Source organism: Homo sapiens, chromosome 5 (assembly GCF_000001405.40).
Source record: "Homo sapiens chromosome 5, GRCh38.p14 Primary Assembly".
Classification (NCBI taxonomy): domain Eukaryota; kingdom Metazoa; phylum Chordata; class Mammalia; order Primates; family Hominidae; genus Homo; species Homo sapiens.
The window spans coordinates 13,877,406-13,901,121 of record NC_000005.10 but is presented as its reverse complement, the minus strand read 5'-3'; the positions used below and the strand labels follow the sequence as shown (position 1 = coordinate 13,901,121).

At 38.6% G+C, this 23,716-nt stretch overlaps 1 protein-coding gene and 1 long non-coding RNA gene across 13 annotated transcripts in view; one reads left to right on the top strand and one right to left on the bottom strand.

Annotated features, from left to right (window-relative positions):
* The window catches only part of DNAH5 (dynein axonemal heavy chain 5), a 321,491-nt gene that overhangs the window by 110,697 nt on the left and 187,078 nt on the right, over positions 1-23,716 (top strand). For all 12 annotated transcript variants that reach the window (XR_001742034.2, XR_001742035.2, XM_017009177.2 and 9 more), the window contains 7 exons: positions 710-916; positions 6,301-6,472; positions 10,001-10,146; positions 14,993-15,158; positions 15,894-16,133; positions 18,028-18,218; positions 18,307-18,394. Coding sequence is in view for 10 of the 12 variants with exons in the window: in XM_017009177.2 (XP_016864666.1) it covers positions 710-916; positions 6,301-6,472; positions 10,001-10,146; positions 14,993-15,158; positions 15,894-16,133; positions 18,028-18,218; positions 18,307-18,394 (1,210 nt within the window). In the remaining 2 variants the exon portion in view is untranslated. The remainder of the gene's footprint in view (positions 1-709; positions 917-6,300; positions 6,473-10,000; positions 10,147-14,992; positions 15,159-15,893; positions 16,134-18,027; positions 18,219-18,306; positions 18,395-23,716) is intronic.
* The window catches only part of DNAH5-AS1 (DNAH5 antisense RNA 1), a 40,614-nt gene continuing 16,967 nt past the window's right edge, over positions 70-23,716 (bottom strand). Inside the window, exons 2-3 of the long non-coding RNA NR_199035.1 lie at positions 4,377-4,533; positions 70-3,587 (exon numbers count right to left, since the gene is read on the bottom strand). This is a non-coding gene — a long non-coding RNA (DNAH5 antisense RNA 1). The remainder of the gene's footprint in view (positions 3,588-4,376; positions 4,534-23,716) is intronic.

Here is a 23,716-nt window from a genome sequence, read left to right as displayed (position 1 = left end):
CGTTCAGAGTGTAATATGTCCACAAAGAAAAATAATTATTAGATTTGAAAAGAAACCACAAGCCAGGTAACAGAACCCCATTTTTATTTAATTTACGAACTCCAAAGTGAGAAGATCTTGTTTATTGGTTCCTATGCCCAATCTATTAGGATATCTTGCTTTTTAAAATTCAGTCAGATCCTAAATATGTCAGTAAACACTAGCACATCTGTTAAACAAAGTTTCAAATTTTCTTTTGTTGTACAACTGGTTAATCATAGCATATCCTACCAATACATGTATTTCTTTGTAGGCTGTCAGGATGCGATGTCTCCATAGCTGTGTTCATTGTTTTTCTAGATAAGTAAAAACTGAGTTTAGGAGGTCTTACGAAACTTTTATTAGGAAGAATAATAGAGTAGGCATGAAGGTATCAGGTAGCTAAATGGCTTTTGAGACGCCACCACTGTTGCAGTGTCCACTTATTTATCAGTGTTAGAGTCATTGAAAGGTTTTATTGAATTGACTGCCCAACATCAACACCAAGAACTTGAAGGCTATTGTATGAGACTGGATTTAGGAGAAGAGTGAGTGATCTTATTGCCCTTAATTTAGGAAGCTCAAATCCATGGAAGAACATTTAATGATCCTTATTCCTAGAGATAGCTGAGCTAGATACTCTGCATGAATTGAACTTTCTGATAGTAATGATGTTGGTTTCTTCCCACAGATTGAAGAAATTCATGTAGGTCTTGAGGCTTCATTATTGGTGAAGGCTCCAGGCACAGGGGAATTGTTTGTAAACTTTGACCCTCAGATATTAATCTTATTTAGAGAAACAGAGTGCATGGCCCAGATGGGTCTGGAAGTCTCTCCACTGGCAACTTCCCTCTTCCAGAAACGAGATAGATACAAAAGGAACTTCAGTAACATGAAGGTATACTACTTTTATTTTTTCCCCCCATTCTTGGCTAGCTCTGGAATGTATTATAAAAAAATATGGTGATGTGTCATATTCAAGGAGCAGAAAGTGGCCAGGATGAATGGAGTGACTGAGGGGACAGTGCCATGGGGTGCAGCTGCAGAGTTGGCTGGGGCCAGGCCGTTACAGGTCTTGCAGGCCAAGATGAGAAGCTTGGGTTTTATTTTGAGTGTACCAGGAAACCATTGGAGGATTTCGAGCCACTGAAAAAGGCACGATCTCTTTTTATAATAAAAGTTATTCTTACTGCTGGGTGGAAAATGGATGTTAAGAGGGACGAGGGGTATCAGCGGGAAGCCTGTTTGTGAAGTGTTGCACTGGCCCAGGATGAAGATGAGAGCTTGAACTGGGATGGCAGCAGAGTTGTTTGGAGAATTTAGAGTTATGTCAACAGTCAGGTTATAAGAGAACTCAGGAATAATACCTGTGGTTTTGGTGTGAGCAGTTCCATGAATTAAAGCAGGGGTGCCGTAGAATGCTGTGTAGGTTGCATTCTTCATAACTTGCACAATACCATGCAGGGGCCCTGACTGTAAGTTCAAGTTATGGAGATGGCGAAAACCGAAACTAGTGTATTTGGAGCAGCAGGAGGGAATCAGTAGTTCCCATTTAAGTACAAGATAGTTTTTAGACAGCCAAGTGGCAGTGTTGTCCATGCAGTTGGATACTTAAGTCTGGAGTTCAGTGGAGAAGCCAAAGTGGGAGGCATGCTTCTGAGAGTTATCAGAATATCATTGTTATTTAATGTCATTGTCCTGGATGAGATCTCTTAGGGGAGAGAATACAGACAGAGAAGAATGGAGGGCCACTGGGCCAAGCATTGGGTTGTTCCAGTATTAACAGATCTGAAAGAAGAAGACAGGTGTGCAAATAAAACAGAGGACTGACCTCTGAGCTGGGAAGAAACCAAGTGTCAAGGAGACCAAGGATGGCCGGGCACGGTGGCTCATGCCTGTAATCCCAGCACTTTGGGAGGCTGAGACTGGCAGATCACCTGAGGTCAGGAGTTCGAGACCAGCCTGGCCAACGTGGTGAAACCCCGTCTCTATTAAAAATACAAAAATTAGCTGAACATGTTGGCATGTGCCTGTAATCTCAGCTACTTGGGAGGCCGAGGCAGGAGAATCTCTTGAACCTAGAGATGGAGGTTGCAGTGAGCTGAGATTGCACCACTGCACTCCAGCCTGGGTGACAGAGCGAGATCCGTCTCAAAAAACAAACAAACAAAAAACAACAAAAAAAGGAAGCCAAGGGTATGAAAAGGCTACTGAGAGAGGGACTGGTCACCAGTGGCAAATGCTGCTACCCAGGGGATGAAGAAGGTGAGATCAGAGATGCGGCCATGGAATCTGACAACATGGAAACCATTGTTAAAATTTCATAGTGGTTAACATCACGTGACAATACTAAGTCCATGCACTTGCACTGTACTTTACATTTAAAGCCATTTTCATGCTCATTATTTCATCTGATCTTTTCTACCACTACGTTAGGTAAGTAGGACAGAATACTATTATTTTATTTCGTAGATGACAAAACTGTGGCTTAGAGAAGTTAAAAGATTTAGCAAAGGTCTCATAGCTACAAAGTGGCAGAAGTAAGACCAGAACCCAGACTTGTAGTCCATCGTCTTCCCACCACTTCATGTCATATTAAAAAGTTGTATTGGCAATGGACAGACATTCCTCAAATGTAGACTCATAAAATACCAGTCAGCATGTTGAGATTCCCTTTTAGACTCTTTCACATTAGGAAACTCACTTAGTCAATTTACATATTCATAAAGAAAATAATATTTTTACTAAGAAACTATAATTATAAGATTATGGAATTACTGATAATTTAATTGTATTTGCAGAGTTGTTGTTTCACTTGTCTGTTTCAGGCAACAAACACTTGTAAGCACGTTGTAGGGTTTACAATAACCGTATCATTATATCATGACTTTATGGGTAAAGAACTTGAGTGGGGCTTGCATAGGTGATTCTTCTGTTCCATGTATTGTTGACAAAGGTTGTTTATTGGTATTCAACTGGCAGATGTTCAATCTGTAAGGTCCAAGAAGGGTTCTTCTAGTTTCTGTTTCTTTCCTGAGGAAAGCTGGAAGGTACACTCCAGTGGGACTGTGAACAGGCACATCTATACATGGCCTTCCAGTATGGAGGCCTCTGGCTAGTAGAATTTCTTATATGGCAGCTCAGGGTTTCAAGAACAAGCGCTACAGTGAACAATAAAGAAGTCACATGGTCTTTATAATAGCCTCAGATGTCTCACAGCATCATCTCTGTTGTACTCTGTTGGACTGTAAACCTACCCAGATTCAAAAAAAGGGGATGTGGTTCCCCCCTCCCCCATGAAGGGAAGAGGATCAAAGAATGTTTTAAATGACAATTCAAGGGAGTAAATTATCATCTCATTAACATTTATTATCTTGGAGGTTGAGAGTTAAAAGTTTCTGCTCAACCTGAGTAGCTGGTCAAAGCAGATCTATTGGCAGGTTTAGGTGACCATCTGAAGTGTTGCAGAATTATTGTGCTGAATATTTGACAGAGCTTTCAGGCTTTTGCAGATATGCCAAAGTAGCTGAGAATTTGTTTCTTCATCTCTTCCTTGGAAGACAGTTTAACTAGAAAGAGAAGACCAAGTACAGGCTAATAGTTACAAATATAGGTTCTGAAGCCAATTTAATCTGGATTCAAATCATTATCTTTGGGTAAATGACTTCACCTTCTAAGCCTGGGTTTCTCTTTTGTCAAAGCAGTTGAGTAATCCCTTCTGGGATTAAAGGTGGGAAGTAGAATGCCTGCTAGAAGCAGATTCTAAGAACTGCTTCCAGATAGAATAACTGGTGGACATTGAAAAAAAACAAGCAGTGGATACAAGTTTCAGGAAATATGTAAGTAGCTGCGAATAGAACCAGAAAATTTAGACTTTTCTAAAGTGGCTTTTATGGACATTGAAAGAATCTTATAGAAATTGTGGAAAAACATTATATGAGGAAAGGATTATGAGGTCCATCTGGGAAATACTGTGTTTAACAAAATTTTCAAAGCCTTGCAAGGCTTCTTACTTCCTTAAGCAGGTTTCTAAGAATCATTAATATTAGCTGTGACCACCCAAGAGGGGAGATATTGTATGCAGCATTTTCAAAATTTATCTATCAAAGGGACATTTTTTCTTATAGAATCTCTTTGGACCTAGTACTCTAGGCAAAACAGTTTGGAAAACATTCATCTATTATCAAGGTAAAACCAACATGCACATATATGACCTTAATACCAACTGTATTTATGGGGCACATTAAAGTTAGTTTCTTATAATTAATGATTATTAATATTGACATGGTTACATATGAACAAAATATTGACAGTTTGACATTATGTAAATAATACTGACACAGTTTGACATTATGTACCTTTCAGTGAAAGATGAGAATGCCCATTTCAGATGAAAAATCCTTCTGATAACAACTAATTAGATAGATATTGATTTATTATCTCCTATGTGCCAGGCACTGGTTCAGGCTCACTGGACAAAGCAGACAAAATTCTTGTCCTTGTAGAACTTATAGTCTAATTGGGTAAAACAGAAAATGAACACTGTAAGTAAGTAAATTAATATAGTCTATTGTAATAAAGTGATAGTTATTATGGACAAAAAAGGGGGATAAAATGTGTGAGTGGTTTTGGTGGTGGTTTATAATCTTAAACAGGTAGTCAGGACAGGTATAATTGAGAAAGTATCATTTGAGTACTTATTTGAAGGAGGTGCAAAGGCCCTGAGGCTCAGGACCAGAAAGGAAGACAGTCAGGCAAGTGCAGGTAAGAGAGGGAAAGAGTGGTTGGAGATGAGATCAGAGAAGTAATGGGACAAAATCGGGTAGATCTTTCTAGAACAAGCATCTATCCAAGTCCTTTGTATAAAGGTTTGTAGCCCTGAATTAAATGGGAGGCTATGTAACCATGTGAGCAGAGGAGTAACATGATCTGAATTCTCATTTTGAAAGGATCATTTTTGCTGCTAAACTGTACCTAGACTTATTGGGAGGGTGAGTGGAAGCAGGATCTGACTTGCTTTCCACATTTACAGTTACTGCCATCATTGGCTCCTACCTAAATTATTGGGATGATCTACTGTTGTCTCCCTGCTTCCACTCACTCTCCCAATAAGTCTAGGTACAGTTTAGACAGCAAACAAGATATCCTAATGGATTACCTGTATGTGTGTGAGTGAAAGAGGAATCAAGGATGACTCTGGGTTTTGACCTGTGGACTGGAAGGATAAAGTCACTATCAGCTGAGTTGGAGGATGCACTGGGAAGAGGTTTTGGGAAAAGAACAGACTTTCAGTTTGGGACTTATTAAGTTTGAAATGTCTGCTATATATTGATGTGGAAACTTTGGGAGGCTGCTGCCATTTGTGAATCTAGACTTTCAGGAGTGAGATCTGGGCTGGAGACGTAAATGTGTTTGTTTCTGGCATCTGGATGAAATTCAAAGCCGTGACACTAGTTGAGATCAATACTGGTTCCCGGTGTGCTTTGGGTCTTGGCAACAAGATTTGGCCTATAATCCTAGCAAAGGGCTGAGGTAGACCTCTGGCGACCCACATGTTTTGGGTGATGGGTGTAGTCTACAAGAGGTCCCCAGAGGAGCAGCACGCATGTCGTATCAGTGTACAAAGAGGAACAAACAAGCCTGGTGATGAGCAGGTGAAGGTGCCATTCCCGTGTTTCTGCATGGTTTAGAAAAATTACTTGGCCTTAGATTTTCTCCCTTTTTAGGCTGTGTAGGAGGTGAGACACTGTTAGTCTTAAATTCTTGTTCATCTTCAGTTGTATTTTTTTGGATTAGGAATTTGTAATTATGGAGAGAGTCCTTGTCTTCTTTTTTTTTGAGACGGAGTCTCGCTCTGTCGCCCAGGCTGGAGTGCAGTGGCGGGATCTCGGCTCACTGCAAGCTCCGCCTCCCGGGTTCACGCCATTCTCCTGCCTCAGCCTCCCAAGTAGCTGGGACTACAGGCGCCCGCCACTACGCCCGGCTAATTTTTTTGTATTTTTAGTAGAGACGGGGTTTCACCGTTTTAGCCGGGATGGTCTCGATCTCCTGACCTCGTGATCCGCCCGCCTCGGCCTCCCAAAGTGCTGGGATTACAGGCGTGAGCCACCGCGCCCGGCCGTCTTCTTTTCTTTTTATTGTTTTGGCTACTCTACCTGCCAGGCTATTAGAGCCCTACAGTTTGACCCTAAATAAAAGTAGTCATTTTGTATAAGACATGAGATATTAACAGACATTAGAAGTGAGATATTAATTGATTACTTAACCCCAATTTCATTGCAGATGATGCTAGCTGAATATCAGAGAGTGAAGTCAAAAATACCTGCTGCCATTGAGCAATTGATTGTCCCTCACTTGGCCAAAGTGGATGAAGCTCTCCAACCTGGCTTGGCTGCACTGACCTGGACATCACTGAATATTGAGGCTTATTTAGAAAACACTTTTGCAAAGATCAGTAAGTCTGCCTGAATAATTAGTATTTCTGAATTCTAAAGGCTGAGTTCCTAACATCTGTTGAATAATTTCTTATCAATATGGAGATATAAATAATGAAATGGGGAGTGTTATTCTTAAGCTGTTTCATAAGGAAGTGTTCCAAAACATGCGAATTCAGTAATTTCCTGGAAACTATAAATATTCACTATTTAATTTTATCCCCAGAGATTAACCACATATTTTCATTTATTTGTATTTTTGGACATTAGGATTTAAAGTATCTTTAGAGTTATTCAGCTTTTTATATAAATAGGTTAGTGTATTTTGAGAGCTTGATTTGAAAGATGTGGAGATTTGGATAGAGTACAGTGCTGAACAACAGGATAAATGGGAAAAATTTAAACAAACACAATTTTCCTTAAAAAGAGATATAATAGTCTAAAATATATGTAAGGTAGTATATTCCATAAAATGCGCTTTTCTGGAATGTGTACGGGTATGTTGCAAAGAAGGGCTCAAATATGTCTGGGAAATCCAAGAGGAGCAGTTGGACAGGTTTCTTTGCTGGACGACTTTTCAGAGCCTGTAACATGCCAGTGTCCCAGTAGGTCTCCAAAAGTGGCCTTTTGCTTGTGGCATTTCCCAGAATTCCTTGGCTGCCTTCCAGGAGGACACATTAACACCTTACAGATCCTCTGTGGCAGACAGTGTAGCACAGTTTGGAACGTGGTAATGGTTTTTTTTTTTTTTTTCTCAGAAAGACTTAGACATTGCTATTGTCCTCTCCTAGCCAGTGTCTTACACCCTCTCCTCTGCATAGCCCAGTCCTCCCCACTCTTATAGCCCAGAGTGAGTCTTGCCCCTAGAAGGCTACTCTGATTACTCTACCTCCTGTGACCGCTTCCTCCTGTGACCTCCTGTTGGATTTATATTTGGGACCAGAGACTTGATATTTTGGTTGTCTTCTAATGGTTTAGTACAGTTTCATCTTTCTCCTCAAACAGACTACAAAGGACCTGAATATCAGGCTGTTTAATTTTTTTTCTTTTTTTATTGTAAATTGATAATTTATAATTGTATAGATTTATGGATTCTGTGAAGAAGGAGTTGCGTGGGGAAAAATTGATGGGATACAAAATGGTGTTACGATTTATGAATGCAATGTGAAATAATTAAATCCAGGCTGTTTACATTTATACTTCTTTTGTGTTATTCTCAGCTGGGTGTGTAGGAGACATCCATATACTTGCAGATTCATAATAGCAATAATTTTATATACTTAGTCTCTCTTCATTTCTTTATCACTGTAACCCTGTTCCTACCCCTCAAGCCCATTACCTTATTTCTGGATACCTCTTCCTGGGCTTCCCTTTTAGATAGCTCTCGTGATGCCTCCTTTTATTCTCTCTCTCTCTCCCCCAACTCCGCCCCTCAGGTCTCTCTCTTGTTCTGGAATTTATGGCTGTTAACATAGTACCTAGTCCATTTATAATGTAAATTGTCAAGAGCTTGTCTTATCAGTAGATTTTCACCGCACTTTCCAAAAAACTTAGGGTTCAGAAGGTCCAGCTATTTAAATAGCCAGGTACTTCATATTTAAGAATATTTGAGAAGTACTGGGTTGGAGGGGAGTAGAGTGAGAAATTATGATTCAGCCCATACCTCACCTTTGTTATGCATTATAGATTGGGAGCTGGACTCAAAGACAAATGATAATGGAGTTTTTGAATATGAATGAATATCAAGCCAGAGATGCTAAATGGCTTTTAATGTTACATAGATGTAAGAAATAATAATGAGTTTAGAACCCGATTTCCTTGCTCTAAATTAATATTTCTTCCAAAATACGCCTCCCCAGGAAATAAAACAAGAGGAAACTGGCTAAAATTTCCTAAGGAGGCACTTATGAAATGTATAAAAACATGATAATGAGTTATCATAATCAAATTAGAACAGGCGACCAAGATAGACTTTAGTAATATCCTTCCTTTAGAACACTAGTATTAAAGTATTAACAATTTGGATGTTTTATTAGATTGTTAGCTGGAGACAAGGAACTAGTTTCTAGAGAAACTTCTTGTTCTTGTTTTCTATTATGTTTTTCTTTTTGTAATTTAAGGAACTAAAATAGAACAAAGATGAAGTTTCTTTGAGAGAAAACTATGTAAAATCTCAAGTGCAGCTGGATTTTAATTGGATTAGTAAGCCAATCCTACTTACAGGTGGTCATTTGCATCATGCATTTAAGAGAGTATAGATAATCTGGGACACTCTGCACATTACATAATCCCTAACTTGATCACATCTGCAAAATCCCTTTTGCCATATAAGGTAACATTCACAGGAGATTAGGATGTGGACATCCTTGGGGACTATTTTTTTCAGCTTAACACAGATGTCCTTAAAGATGAAGAAGCAGTCCGTTAGAAAGCGTAGAGAATTTTATTGCTCACACATACTTAAGTGAAAGTGTTGGCTCTCTTTTAGTATTCAATCAATTTACCAGGCAGAACTATTTGGTATCTTGAGTAGCCTCTTTAATAATTAGCTTAGAAAAAATAGAAAACTTTTAGGCTTTTATTCTTTAGGAAATAAAGGTATTTATTTAAGGAGGTGTTTACATCTCCGATACAGCGTTGGTATGTAACGTTGACTTTCCTGTATTCAATTTCAGCTTTATTTCCCAGGAGAAAGGAGTATTAGAAAAAGAGAAATTTTACTGTATGGTATCTGTTGAAAAATGTATTACCCTTAGATGGATATCCATTAGTAATCATTCCTACTTTTGATGTGCAGTTGTTGTTAGTTTGCTTCAGAGTTGGCCTTTGCATCCATTGAACTTAGCATTCAATATTACTTCAGCACAACTAAAAAAATGTACCCTATGATATTTACAGTGAAAGAAAAAATAGGGAACTTTCACTTTAGTCAAATTTGTTGAATACTTCTTGTGGAATAGGCACCAGGTTAAATATTGAAGATGTAAGGATAAAAAATATGAATTCTAAAGAAGATAAGACACATGGGTAGACAATCCGCAGAGACGGAAGGATGCTCCATCTGTGGTTTTACAGGAGGAGGGACCACTCCAATGCACATGGATTCACCCAGGGCCTCTGTGGGGAAATGCACTTGAGCCGGATCTTTAAGTATGAGTGAGAGTTAGGCAGGCAGGAGCTCAGAAACTGGTTACAGAGAAGGAACGATGGCCCCAGGAAATAAAACAAAAGGAAATTGGCTAAAAGTCCCTAAGGAGGCATTTATAAAATGTATAAAAACTTTATAATAAGAATGATCATAATCAAATTAGAAGGGGCTACCAAGATAGATTTTCCATTCTCCCTACAGAGTATTAGTATTAGAAAGTTAACAACTTGGATATTTTATTAGCGACAACCAAGTGTGAATCAGTGGGGATCTGGGGAACATACGTAACTGAGAATCTTTAAAGCTGATTTTACTACTGTCATTTAATCAAGTGTTGATTTTTTTAAAAAACAAAATGCTTTACCTAATCTCTTTTATTTACTTTTATTTTTTCCCAAAGAGGACCTGGAGTTGCTGCTTGACAGGGTCAATGATTTGATTGAGTTCCGCATTGATGCCATTCTAGAAGAAATGAGCAGCACGCCTCTTTGTCAGCTTCCCCAGGAGGAGCCACTAACCTGTGAAGAGTTTCTCCAAATGACAAAGGTCATTAAAACCTTGATTTTTTTTGTTTAAGGTTTTTGGTGATTCATTTTCCTATAAAGGTCACTTTTTTGAAGTTATAAGTTAGATTTTTTTCTCTACTTGCAGTGCTCTGTGATAGAAGTGATTCAGACATGGAATCTTCTGACAATAATTTGCCAGTGAAGAGAAATGTATCTAAGTAAGCGGTCACTTAGCTATGGGGAACACATCATTTCAGATCAGTAGGAGAGAAATTGCCATAGAACACACTTGGAATTTTTCCATTTTTTAATGAAGGATAGAGCTATCTTGCAGAAGTGCTTCTCATAAGCTAGGGTTAATTAACGAAACAATTGTTTTGAACAGCTTCTAGACAAAATTTCTTCTTTAAACATTTTTGTTGAGGGGGGGTTTCCCAAACTGGTGTTCTATAGCACACAATTCTGGAGCCATTGCTGGGAATCCTGAGAGAGGCAGGGAGTGAGTGCAAACTGCTTAGGGTAAAGACTGTGCTTACAGATCCGCTACACTTTAACATGTTAAGATAAAGGCCCTCAGAAGATCTCCATTTAACCTTTTTTTTTTTTTTTGAGATGGAGTCTTGCTCTGTTGCCCAGGCTGGAGTGCAGTGATGCGATCTCAGCTCACTACAACCTCTGACTCCCCGGTTGAAGCAATTCTCCTGCCTCAGCTTCCCGAGTAGCTGGGACTACAGGCACACGCTGCCACGCCTGCCTAATTTTTTGTATTTTAGTAGAGATGGGGTTTCATCGTGTTGCCCAGGCTGGTCTCTAACTCCTGAGCTCAGGCAACCTGCCTGCCTCGGCCTCCCAAAGTACTGGGATTACAGGCGTGAGCCACTGCGCCCGGCCCTTCATTTAACTTTTCGTAGCTCATTATTTCTCCAACACATTTGCAAATGGGATACTTTCTTCCCTGTGCCAGGAGTAAGCTCCTGGGAGCAGTGCTCCATGAAGTGCCCCTTCAGGCATGTCACGTTAGCATCATTTACAATATTCCCAGTGGGCATCTTGAGGATAAGGACTCCTTGATCATGATTTTAATATGATGTGCCGGGGTCTCCAAGACCACCCCCACTAGGAGGACTCACGGAACTCAGCACGTAGTTGCACTGCCCTGACATAGTTAAGAGATGCAGCCGGATCATAAGGAACAAAGACAGGTGGTGTCTGGGGAGTCCCTGTCCAGGCTTTTTCATGCTGTCTCCCTCCTGTGAGGCTTGCCCGGAGCTCACCGTCCCCTCTGTGCAATGTTTCTGCCCAGGGAAACCTATTAGAGACTCAGGGCCCAAGGTTCTTACTGGGTCTGGTCACACACTCTGCTTAGCATGGACCAGAATTCCAGACTCCCAGAAGGAATCAGGTGTTCAGCATAAACTACATTGTTTGCACAAGCAGTTTAGGCACAGCAAACTATCTTTATCAGCAGGGCAACAGGGGGAACCCTCCTAAAATCCAAGCTTCCAGACGCCGGCCAAGGGACCACCTCCCAAGCAGGACTTTCTAAGGAGAGCAGTTTCAGGCCTGCTGTGTTCACCCCTTTCTGCATATATGGCAGGTTATATTAAGTCATTTTATACGCAAAACTTACTGTCTACATGTTAGAAATTTCTAGTCCCTCCTCCTCACATTCACTAACTGTGGGTACACCTAACCATCCCCTTGTTCTTCCTCATCATTTAAAAAACTATCTCTTCCTCTGAAAAATCACTTGCCTCCATGGTTTTAGTCTTACCCCTTTTCTGATGATTGTTTTATAAAAATACACTTGTTTTAAATTTAAATTTAAAAGAAAGTTTTAGAATATTTTAAAAATGGAAAGAAACTAGCCTTTTAATCAATTATACCATCATTATTATAATATTAATGCATTTTAAGCTTTTTAATAAAGTGGCGATCTCTACTCCATATATATCAGGTTTTGAATAGTACTTTTTTCTCCCAGTTAACATTTCGTCACAAAATATTCTTCATGTTGCTACATGGCTTTCATAGGCAGCCTTTTAATGGTGCCTTCAGAATATTCTGTTGAGTTGATATACTGTAATTTACTTACCAGTTTCTTATTGCTGAACCTTTAGATGGCTTCCAAAGTTTTGCTAATTTGTCAAGAGCTGCAGTGAATATATGCATGTATCATGTATTTTCTCCTTTAATGTTATTCCCTCCCCAAAATAAAATTATTGTGTCAGAGAGTATGGCCTTATTGGATGGCTGTTGATATTGGTAGCCAAATTGCTTTTCAAAAGGATATTATCAGCTTACAATGCCACCAGCAATGCAGTACTACCAATTTCACTTCCAACAAACACTGTTTTATTATAGTTTACTACTTTTACTTTAAGTAGCAAAATCGTGGAACCCAATTTGAGTTTGCATTTTTGATTACCAATATAGGTATTAGTAAATCATTTCTCTTGAGTTTGTTTATTTGAATTCATAATTCAATTATGGAGAAAAATGAAAAGGATGATGGAGAAAAGGAGTACCTGACAGAAAGTTGTGATTTTATGTTCATGGTCACTGATGACTTCTACGGTTAGATTTGAAGGGAGGGAGTGAGAGTGCAAGCTATGTGAACATTTTAGTGGAAGAACATGCCAGGCAGAGAGAATAGCATGTGCAAAGGCCCTGAGGTGGAAGCATGTTGTAGCTGGAGAAAGGTGTTGAGTTGAAGTACATTGGGTGTTCATATGCTCAGGTGGAAAATTAGTAGAGAGGAAGAAAGGGGTAGGCTTGGTTTCTGAGGAAGCCAGAGAAGCTGTGATTCAGAACTCAGGTTGTGGAGTTAACCTCGAATAAAAGGAGAATGATTGCATTCACCAAAACAAGAGGAAAAGGGGCTCATGATGGAGGCCGATTTGTCTTCTGCATGAGGGCAGTGGGAGTTGTTTGAGTCCCCGTGTCATGACCTCCATTTGCTTTGTGCTGTAGAAATCAAGGTCATTCTTTGAGTATGACGAGGAAGGATGGTGTAACGATTTGAGGACACAGGGATTTGAAGACACAGCTATTATGGAGCTTGGTAGAGGGAGGTGGCTATAGTCATGTAGAATGATTCCCGAGTAGCATTAGGGGCCAGTTTGAGTTTGGGGACCATGAATTCCCAGTGCCAAGCATCTGCCTCACCATGACCTATGTGTGCCGGTGGAGAGGGTAGGTCACCTGGTTCATTTGGGTTGGGCGTCTCCTGGGTGGGGCAGTGGAAGGTTGAGAGAGTGATGGAGTAAAGGATATTAGCAAAACAATGGTTGAAGTGTGAAATCGTGTTAGGAGAGGGCATGAACCAGGGAGTAAGGGTGAAGAGACCTTGAGAAGACATGGCGTCTAGTAGGTTCCTGGTTTGCCAAAGCTAAAGCATCATGGGAATGAGGAAATGGTGGAGCCCCATGCTGATTATTCAAGGAGGACACCACTCAGGATTGAAAGAAAGGCCCTTTTGGTGGGTTTCAGCTTTTGGGTGTCATCATGGAGGTTAGTTGTTGAAATGAAGCAGGATAAGTGGAGGCAGCATCTTTCATTTATTTTATTTGTCCTGGGGGATATTTTAATGAGTCTATTTATTACTTCTTTTTCCTCATTGCGTTTATATTCTGCTTTGTTAATTTCTATGCTATTTACATTTTTATGGTTATGCCTTCTCACAGAGAGAAAGAGTTAAGAGATGTAAACAACGTTGTTGGAACTATATTAGTCTTTGAGAGGTTATCAATCTCATCTTCTAGAACCCTCAATACAAAGGAATTTTATGATCTCAAACATGTGCTTGTGTTACTGAGAGGACTGAAAGAGCTGCAAGTTAATTGAGGATTCCCTGTGAGAGCTGGCCCTGAAAATGGAGACCACATGTGTGTTTCTCTCCAAGGTAGAGTCAGAGGACTTAAGATTCAGACTTTAAAAAATATTAGTGTTCTCTCAGAGAATTGAGGAGTTAGTTTACATGGAATGAGTTGACTAACCTTTGCAAATATTTAGGTCCTGTGGATGTTTGTGATTTTCCAACCAATAATAATAACAAGCACTTCTTGTGTGCTTACTTTATGCCAGGCACTGCTCTTAGTATTTTACTTGCATTTATTTTATGGAATACTTGCAAAAACTACAGTGAGTTCTACTATATCACCATTATACATATGAGGGAATTGAGACTGAAAAGAATTTTCAGGATCATGCAGAGCAAGGATTTGAATCCTAGTTTTCAAGCCGTATAAGTTTAAAGATGTATAATGCTGGAACTTGGAATGGAGCTGGACACTGTGCCTAACTGACAGTCTGTTGTTTCATGGGCTTACTTTCCAACCAGGTGGTAAATCACTGATTCTGTCTATATCATCCATCTATAACTATCTGTCTACCTAATCTCCTCCAGAATTGATCACCATGCCTCAAATCATGTTAGTTTATATTTATTAAATCCATTCTTGAGAAATGCACAATATAGTTAGAAGGGTGGGTAGTGTCTTTGAAATTAATGAGGGGATGACTATGGTTTGTTGGCAAAAACAAGGAGAGAAAGAAGGGTGGCTGGATCCGATTTATGTGATATGAAGGAAATGTGACGAGTAGAGAGGCTGCTGATGGCTTTTGAAGATATTTTCTCTACTGGTGGAGAAGTGCCTGTAATTTTGGTCCATCTACACTGATCCAGTGGGTTCTCTTGTCCTAAACACATTCCTTTAGAGGACACCTGGCCTGTGCTATTGTGAAGGATGTGGCCAAGCATCACTGGGGCTGAAATCTCACCTGGAGGCTGAGCCACAGCATTGCTACCACTGTTTCTGTGCTCTCAAAAGCTAGATAAACCATATACCACTGTGCTATCTTTTTTTTTTTTTTTTTTTGGTTAGGATCTTTGTGTAAATGGTGCACAAATACTACATTTTAAAAGCTCATTAGTGGAGGAGGCAGTCAATGAGCTTGTAAATATGTTGCTGGATGTGGAAGTTTTATCTGAAGAAGAAAGTGAAAAAATATCCAATGAGAATAGTGTTAATTACAAAAATGAAAGTTCAGGTAAGAGATGGGGTAATGAAAGGGTCTTGTTTTTCTATGACATTTACTAAAAACTAAAACTGCATTTTCTACATACCAATTAATTTCATACTTCTATAAACATCCTCTCGATTTTCTAATGATATGTATAAATCTGAAATTATGGCCCTGAGCATATTTTAGTGACTCTATGTTGTTAATTCCTACTATTTTTGGTTAAACTTTGCAAACATGCACTTTGCATTGGCCCTGGTTAGCTTTCTTTGCATTTATGTGTGGGTGGGTGTTTTATTTTACCTTATCAATAGAGTTGGATGGATTATTGACTGGAATTCCCCTTGGAGAGCCTCTAGACTGAGCGCACCTTTTGCAGGACAGAGGAGAACAGAGAGATGTGGATGTGAAGAAGGGAAATTATCCCCCCAAAGTTTTAGGGTTATTGGTGGGAGGTAGCACCAGAACCCAGGTCCTTGGGGGCCACTGTAGCTTTTCCAGCCATAGCTCCTGCCTCTCTTGTTGGCTGTTTTCTTGTATTGAGAAGGAGATGCTTCCATCAGTCCCTCTGGTTCCTGATTTCCTCCTACTTTTTGATGTCCTCACTTCCTAAGAAGTGTGATGTTTAAGTGATACTAAACTTGCATGTAATTTATCCTTTAATTGCAACAGATGATTCTATCTATCTGTCTATCTATCTGTCTATCTATCCATCCATCCATCTAACTTATCTCTATCTCTATCTCTTTCATCTTGTAACAGCAAAAAGAGAAGAAGGAAATTTTGACACCTTGACATCATCTATTAATGCCAGGGCCAATGCCCTGCTTTTGACGACAGTCACGAGGAAAAAGAAAGAAACTGAGATGTTAGGGGAAGAAGCCCGCGAGTTACTCTCTCATTTCAACCATCAGAACATGGATGCTCTTCTGAAAGTTACAAGGAATACACTAGAGGCCATTCGCAAACGTATTCATTCCTCTCACACAATTAACTTCCGGGGTAATAATCTTGTGTGGTTTGCTTAGTGGATGATCAGGCATAGTTGCTGGGGTATGTGTGTGTGTGTGTGTGTGCACGTGTGCACGTGCATGTACATTCCTGTTAAATTTAAATAATTAAAAATATTCATCTTTTTTTAAATTTTTATTTTTTGAGATGGAGTCTCGCCCTGTCGACCAGGTTGGAGGGTAGCGGCACGATCTCAGCTCACTGCAACCTTCATCTCCTGGGTTCAAGTGATTCTCCAGCTTAGCCTCCCAAGTAGCTGGGACTATAGGCGCACGCCGCCACGCCTGGCTAATTTTTTGTATTTTAGTAGAGACAGGGTTTCACTATGTTGGGCACGCTGGTGGCGAACTCCTGAGCTCAGGTGATCCGCCCGCCCCGGCCTCCCAAAGTGTTGGGATTACAGGCGTGAGCCACCGCACTTGGCCATATCCACCGTTTATTTAGTGCCTTCTCGTAATTTTAAACATTATGAACTTTGATCATCCCAACAATTCTATTAAGTAGATACTATTACTACTCTCATGTTAAATCAGAGAACTAGAGCACAGCACAGGGAGGTTAAATAGTTTGCTTAAGTTTTTGTTAATAACATGAAAATTGGTAGTACGTTTAATCTTTTTGTAATAAGATGAAAAAATATAAAATTATTTTAATTGGTGAAAGAAAAAAATACATACTTTAAAGGAAGTTATATGGAAACGATTCTTTCATTGTTAAATCATTAGGTTTGTTAGCCAGTCTTACAAAGTGGAAACATCTTACTAGTGTCACACTCTTCAAAGGATATATATGTATTTTACTATTTTTATGCTAATTTAGTACTTTCCAGGTGGTTTCCTCATTTTCAATAGCATCATCTTTTCCTCGGCACAGTTCAGAAATAGGTGTTGTATTTCTCAGGTGGGCCACAAAAATCTGTCAAATCTAGAGGCATCCTGAAATTAAATTTTAAGTTAAAAATGGTAAAAAGAAAACAAATAATAGTAATTAATGAAAACTGAAATAATAGGATAATAAAATTTTTAAATATATTTTGAATATTGACATTTAAAGGAAAGCATCTTCAATATTTAATTAAAAGTGGGTAAATAAAAGTGGAAACTCTGAAAGATTTTTTTTTTGTTTGGTGCCATGGCTTATTATGTTTTACTTCATTCAGGATGGAGAATAGTTCTTTTCTTTGGCACAGCGTTATTATTAGAACTTAATAAATGTTGGCTGATAGGCTAAATATTCAATCACAATTATTTCCCAGCTTTTCTATTACAGATATTTGCAACTACGTAAAGTTATGCATGATACACAGACACATATACATACATGTCTGTATCTACATACCTATACCTATGTTCAACCTTAAAAGCTCCTTCAGTATGAATGGCGAATTACACTTTATTTCTTTTCCATTTTTTTAACTGCTCCACATTTGGATTTTACACACCATGGTAGGAAAGGCCTATGATTTATCTGAAATTCCAAAGTGGTTATTTGTTCTAACTTTGGCTTATGCCGATAGTCTTGTTCTTCATTCCTGGCTTACTTAGCTACATTTAGCTAATTTGTTGGCATCTTGTTATTTGGAAGAATCATCTTTAATATTTTACAGAAGTGTTTATAATTTAGCCTGATCCCACACAGTGGGTTTCATTGTGGAGAGTATTCCAAGAAGCTGTAAACAGCAAAAAATGCCTTGGGTTCCCCTGAACTGCTTTGTTATATTGAGCAATACTAGATCCTCCATTAGTTTTAATTGACTCATTCATTCAACAAATATTTATTAGATTTTATACCTATTATGTATTGTTTTAATTTTTATGGTTACAAAGGAAGCAAATCTTATTTTGTATTAAAAATGTGAATTCTTCCTTGTTTTGGGTTAACTCAGACAGTAACAGTGCCTCTAACATGAAGCAGAACAGTTTGCCCATTTTCCGGGCAAGCGTCACTCTGGCCATTCCCAACATCGTCATGGCCCCTGCCCTGGAAGATGTACAGCAGACCCTGAACAAAGCCGTGGAGTGCATCATCAGTGTCCCTAAGGGGGTCAGACAGTGGAGCAGTGAACTGTTGTCCAAGGTGGGTATGGGGTGCAGAAATGGTTTCATATGGAAACCACTTCTTTTACAGATAGGACAGAACTGAAAAATATCCTTTTACATTGTAGAAAAAGATACAAGAAAGAAAAATGGCTGCTTTGCAGAGTAATGAAGACAGTGATTCTGATGTTGAAATGGGAGAAAATGAACTTCAAGGTAAATGTTCTTTTAGTCTTTTAAAAGAGGCATTGTAAATCAACATTCATTGAGCTTAAATGTTTTTTAACCCCTCCATGTAATTCTCAATTTATTTTACATCAGAATATTAATCTATGAGCCAATTTGAAGTTGACAAAATATCAAGGTCCACGTATTTTAATATCACCATTTTAGTTGACTTCTGTTATGGTGGATCACATTTATTGATTTGCATATATTGAACCAATCTTGCATCCAGGGGATAAATTTCACTTAATCATGATGAATGATCTTTTAATGCACTGTTGAATATAATTTGCTAGGATTTTGTTGAGAATTTTTGCATTTATGTCCACCAGTGATATTGGCCTGTAGTTTTTTTTTTTTTTTAAATTGTAGTGTATGTGTCTAGCTTTGGTATCGGGGTAATGCTGGCCTTGTAAAATGAGTTTGGAAGTATTCCCTTCTCTTTAATTTTTTGAAGTGCTAGAGAAATATTGGTATTAGTTCTTTAAATGTTTGGTAGAATTTAGCTATGCAACCATCTGGTGGTAGGCTTTTTTTGATTGTAGACTTTAAATTACTGATTTGATCTTCTTTCTTACTATAGGTCTGTTCAGATTTTCAATTTCTTCTTGATTCCATCTTGGTAGGTTAATTATATGTTTCTAGGAATTTATTCATTTCTTCTAGGTTGGCACAAAATTGTTCTTAGCATTCTCATGATAATTTGTATTTTTGGGTTATCAGTAGTAATATCTCCTTTCATTTGTGATTTTATTTACTTGAGTCCTCTTTTTTACTTAGTCTAGCTAAGGATTTGTCAACTTTGTGTAGCTTTTCAGAAAACCAACTTTTTGTTTTGTTGATCTTTTCTATTGTTTTTCTAGTTTCTATTTCATTTGTTTATGCTCTGATCTTTATTTCCTCCCTTCTGCTAACTTTGGGCTTGTCTGTTCTCCTTTTTCTAGTTCTTTGAGTTGTAATTTTAGGTTATGTATTTGAGATCTCTCTCCTTTTTTGACTTAGCTGTTTATTTTGCTATACCGTTTCCTCTTAGAACTGCTTTTGCTGCATCCAATAAATTTTGATATGTCATGTTTCCATTCTCATTTGTCTCAGGATATTTTGAAATTTGTCATCTAATTACTTCTTTGACCTGATTTGAGAAGTTTTTTTCAGAAGCATATTGTTTTATTTTCACATATTTAAAACATTTGCATGGTTTTTCCTGTTTGATTTTTTTCCTGATTTCTAGTTTCATACGCTTGGTTTGGAAGATTTGTTATAATTTGTTATAAGATCAAATTTGTTGTAATTTGATCTTAAGTTTGTTAAGACTCATTTTGTGTCTAACATATGATCTACCATAGAGAGAATGTTCTGTGTGCACTCGAGAAGAATGTATATGCTGTTCTGTTAGATGGAATATTCTGTCTGTTAGGTATATTTGGTCTAAAGTGTAGTTCAAGTCTAATATTTCTTTATTGATTTTCTGTTTAGATGATCTGTTCAGTGATGAAAGTAGGGTACTAAAATCCCCTACTATTATTGTGTTCTAGTCTGTGTCTCTCTTCAGATCTCTTAATATTTACTTTATATAGTTATATGCTCCAATGTTGGGTGTATATGTATTTACGATTATAATATAATTTTGAAGAATTTATTCCCTTTTTATTATATGATGATCTTTGTCTCTTTTTACACTTTTTGATGTTAAGTCTATTTTGTTTTTTCATTTATATGAACTTTATTTTTTCATCCCTTCACTTTCAATCTGTGAGTGAACTTTAAGGTGGAATGAGTCTCTTGTAAGCAGCATGCAGTTGGGTCTTTTTTTGTGGTCTTTTAGTTCATTTGGCCACTCTATGCCTTTTGATTGGAGTATTTAATACATTTACATTTAAAGTAATTGTTGATAGGTACAGACTTACTCTTGCCTTTTTGTTAATTGTTTTCTGGTTGTTTTGTAGACCCTTTGTTTATTTCTTCCTTTGTGGTTTGATAGCTTTCTCTAGTGATATATTTTGGATCTTTTTTTTTCTTTTATGTATCTCTTATGGCCTTTTGCTTTATGTTTACCCTGAGGCTTACATAAAACATCTTATACTAATTATAGGCTATTTTAAGTTGGTAACAACATAGTTTTGATTGCATATACAAATTCTATACTTTTACTCCCCACCTCATACATTTTAAGTTTTTGGTGTCACATTTTACATCTTTTTATAATTTGTATCCCTTAATAAATTTGTGTAGCTCTAGTTGTTTTTAGTAGTTTTGCCTCTTAACTTTTTTACTGGAAATATTAATGATTTACCCACCACCATTACAGTATTAGAGTGTTTTGGATTTGCCAATATACTTACTTTTATGAGTGAGGTATTATATTTTCATATGTTTTCATGTTACTAATAAGCATCTTCTTCCTTCAGCTTAATCTCCATTTAGCATTTCCTGCAAGATGGGTCTTGTGGTGATAAACTCTCTCAGCTTTTGTTTGTATGAGAAAGTTTATACCATCCCTTTGTTTTTGAAAGCTAGAATTGCTTGATATAGTATTCTTAGCAGTTATTTTCTTTCAGTATTTTGAATATATCACTTCACTCCTTTCTAACCTGCAAGGCTTCTGCTAAGAAATCTACTGATAGTCTTATGAGTGTTCCCTTACATACAATGAAACACTTTTCCCTTGCTACTTTCAACACTCTTTATCTTTAGCTATTGACAATTTGATTATAATGTGTCTTGGTGTGAGTGTTTTTGAATTAATCTTATTTAATGTCCTTTGGGCTTCCTGGAGCTGGCTTTCTATTTCCTCCCCCAGGCTTGGAAGTTTTTGCCATTATTTCTCTGAGTATGTTTCCTCTGTCTTTCTTTTCTCTTTCTGGCAAGCCAATAATGCATAAGTTGTTCCTCTTGATGGTGTCCCATAAGTCTGTTAAGATATCTTCATTCTTTTTCATTCTTTTTATTTTTTGCTCCTCAGATTGGATGATTTTCAGTGACCTCTCTTTGAATCCACTGTTTTTTTTTCTACTTCTGCTTGATCTAGTCTTCTGTGGAAACTATTAAATTTTTGTGTTCAGTTACATCATTCTTCAGTTTTATGTTTGCTGTTTGGTGCTTTTTTATACTTTCTGTCTTTGTTGAAGTTCTCAGTTTGTTTTTGCATTTCTCTCTTGATATTGGTGAGGATCTTTATGAATATTACAGATGGTCCCTGACTTACAATGGTTTGGCTTCACATTTTTTTTGACTTTATAATGGGGTTATCAGGAAGTAACTTTATAGTAAGTCAAAGAGCATCTGTACTTAGAATAGTTTGACTTACAGATTTTTAACTTTACAATAGGCTTACTAGGGTATTAAGTGCATTATTGACTTAGGATATTTTTGACTTATGATGGATTTATTGGGATGTAACTTCATCATAGGTCAAGGAGCATCTGTATTTTGAATTCCCTGTCAGATAAATCATATATGTCCACTTCACTCAGAACAGTTTCTGGAGATTTATTTGGTTATTTTATTTGAACTGTATTTCCCTGTTTTTGTTCATTTTCTTTGACCCTCTGTGTTGGTTTCTGTGTATTATAAAAGACAGCTACCTCTTTCAGTCTTGTCAGACTGACCTCATGTGGGAGGATCTCACTATTTCGACTAACCAGAGATTTCAAGATGCCTCTCTAATCTTAGTGTTTGTCCAGACTGCTGTCTCTATTTTTTGTCCCCCCTACCCTGGAGATTCAGATATGATATGTCCTGTCAGTACCCCTAAGACTGGTAAGGTAGGAGCTAGATTCTCTAGATGTAGCTGGAAATGTTGGAGTGTTGAATGCATGCTCCAATTTTTTCTGTCTTCACAGTGAAGCTGAGCACAGGCATTTATCTTCAGTTCTCTGCATTAAGCCAGAGAGAGGATCTGTGGCAAATGCCTGCCATCATGTTCAGGCTGCATCCTCTGATTCTGGCGAGATAACTGATGGAAGTTGGCCCATTGTACATCCACCTCGTTGTTTTCCATGGTCTCTGGCTACTCAAAAGTGCAAAGACCCACTGACTCCCAGAGCTAGCTAGATCATTAAAGAGACAGTCCTTTGGGTAGGAGCTATAGAAGTTATGGCACTTGGTGCGTGTCGTAGCTCCTTCCAGAAAGAATGGCTAGGCCTAGGCTTATCACTAGGGGAGCCAGAGGGAACACTCATGAAGTGCTCAGCTGTGGCTCCAGCTGCTGGAGGGCTCCTGTTTGTTTGCCTCATTAGCTCTCTGATGTACAGTTTTTAGAAGCCAGGCCATCAAGTAGACACTAGGCGGGGGGGTGCCAGAAGCCCCTTCCCAGAAAGAAAATGGAAGCTGCACATTCTTGATCCTTTTCTGCATTGTTCTGAGGGGGTGTAGCCCCTGGTAGTGTTTCCATGTCCATTGAAACTTCCTTTCTGTTTTGTGATCTGGGGAAATTCACATATGCCTAATGCCCTTTCTTCACGTAGCTAAGAGGTTTAGGATTGAGTCCTTTGGGAGGTGGCTGCAGAAGTTGGGGCACTCAGTGCATAGCATTAACCCCTTCTGGACAGAAACAGAAGACTGTGTTTTTTAAGCCCCTTCTCTGCACTGCTCCTGGGGGATAAAGCCTGTTGAAGTGCTTGTGTGCTCATATTAAATGGCCGCTTCTTCCTGTGGTCTAGAGAGACACACAAATGCCAGTCCCGTCTGCTCCCAGAGATAGGAGTTTTAGAATGTAGTCCCTTGGGTGGCAGCTGTAAATGTTGGGGCACTTGATGTGAGAGAGAAACAAGGGGCCATGGTTTTAAAGCCCCGTCTCTGCACAACTTCCACAGAATGAAGCCTCTGTAAGTGCTTCATGCCTGTGTAAAGCCATCACTTTTTTCTTGTGGTCCAGAGAGACTCTTGTGTGTCTAATCCACTCCACTCTCAGAATTGGTGAATTAAGAGCCAAGCCATGGGGAACCTTAAGAGTTATGGTGATACATGTGAGGTCCAAAGCCTCATTTCCACAGAGAGAAACTGTGTGTTGCAGATTCCTTTCCCAATTCTCTGGTTCAGTGCCTGGAGCAGGATCCATGTCCAAGTGTGTCTCCACTTTTCCTGCCCTTTGATGCGGATATGTTTTTGGTTATAACATAAGCAGGAGTCTCTCCACTGGTCTCTGACTTTCTCTCAGATGGAATTGATCTGAGAATAGATGTGTATTGGGTGTGTCCATGGGTGGAGGGAGAGCCAGGATATTCTTATTCAGCCATGTTGCTGACTTCATTCTTCTCCTTTCCCAGAGTTTTAACTTTTTTGGCCAACCTCTTATTTGCCCCCAACTAATAT